The 1,260-nt window shown below is 46.3% G+C and overlaps 1 annotated feature.

The window, feature by feature from the left end:
- Positions 367 to 866: an enhancer, noted in NCBI's record as "H3K4me1 hESC enhancer chr10:26871445-26871944 (GRCh37/hg19 assembly coordinates)". NCBI's record gives its function as "activates a minimal SCP1, AML or CMV promoter by ChIP-STARR-seq in primed H9 embryonic stem cells {active_cell/tissue: H9 hESC(primed)}" and the evidence as "EXISTENCE:reporter gene assay evidence [ECO:0000049][PMID:30033119]".

Genomic DNA, 1,260 nt, shown 5'->3' on the forward strand with positions numbered 1-1,260 from the left:
TAATCTAAGTTGTTTCTCTTCAGTTGGTGGTCCTCAGTTGGTGGTCTTCAGTTGTTGGGCAGTGGTGGAAGGAAGATGAATCCGTTTGTGCTCTCTCCTCCCCCAGTCACAACTCTCAGGCTTGTTGCATCTAGGCCCTTTTAAAATAAACCAGAGATGTTGGCAGGTTTTATTAGCAGACAAGTCAGCTCAGGGTATGGGGGTGACGCGAGGTGCAGGCCGCTATTGGAGTGCCACCCCATGGCCCAGGGCTGCTCGTGCCAGCAATGCTTTTGCCAGGAAGAGGCGAAAGGTGTTTAGCTCTGTAAACTTGGGGGTGAGCGAAGGCCCATGCTGCCCGAGAAGACCCCGTGGGGTCCACACGGAACGGTCGCATATGAACCAAAGGCAGCCCCAATCAGGGCTGGCGCAAGGGTTCTGCAGAGCTAGCCTGTGGCTCTGATGTCTACGACTGTGAAGTCAGCAAAGACGTAGGCCACGATATACAGGAGCAGAGGAGCCCAGAACACCCTGTCCCCCAATGCCAGCCACAAGCAGGGCTATCTCAGGATGTGGTGGGTGAAGCCGTCCTGCAGATCTGAGAATCCTGAGGTGGAGGTGGCACTAGCACCAACTCCACTGCTTTGGAGCCTCCCCAGTCCAATTTGGGAGCCAGCGAGGGACCTGACAGCAGCACATTGGCCACCAGAAGACACCCAAAGGTAGGGAGGTGACAGATACTGCTTAAGTTCAGGAGCTCCTCTGTCTATTGCTTGCCCAAGGTTCCCCCAGAGGCATCCAAAGCCTCAGTTTTCTCATCTATAAAAGACGTGATTGTTCTGAGGTTTCCATAAGGTAAGTGTGTAAAAACCGTGGCAAAATGCTTGTAATTTAAAAGAGGGGGTTTCTATCAGGCTTCTATAAGGTAAGTGTGTAAAAATCTGGACACAATACCTATAATTTTTTTAAGTGTTCAGTATATGGGAAAGGAGGATTATTTTTTCTCATCTAATTTTCAGAGCAATTTTATAAAATTGGCGATACTTGTATTTCTTAGACAATCTAACCAATGATCAGAAAGAATAAATAGATAAGCAAGGTCACAAAGTAATTCACAATGCCTTCACTGGGTAATTTCTAGTTAAAAGTAGCAATGATTTTCACATTGAAAATTTTGTATTATGTTGTGGTTTTCTCTTCCATAATCCTCTTGGTGTTTGAGAAACCAAAGATTCTAAGTTGCTCTATTAAAGCCATCATTAGAAAAATATGATGTACTTA

The sequence above is a fragment of the Homo sapiens genome, chromosome 10 (genome assembly GCF_000001405.40).
Source record: "Homo sapiens chromosome 10, GRCh38.p14 Primary Assembly".
Taxonomy (NCBI): Eukaryota; Metazoa; Chordata; class Mammalia; order Primates; family Hominidae; genus Homo; species Homo sapiens.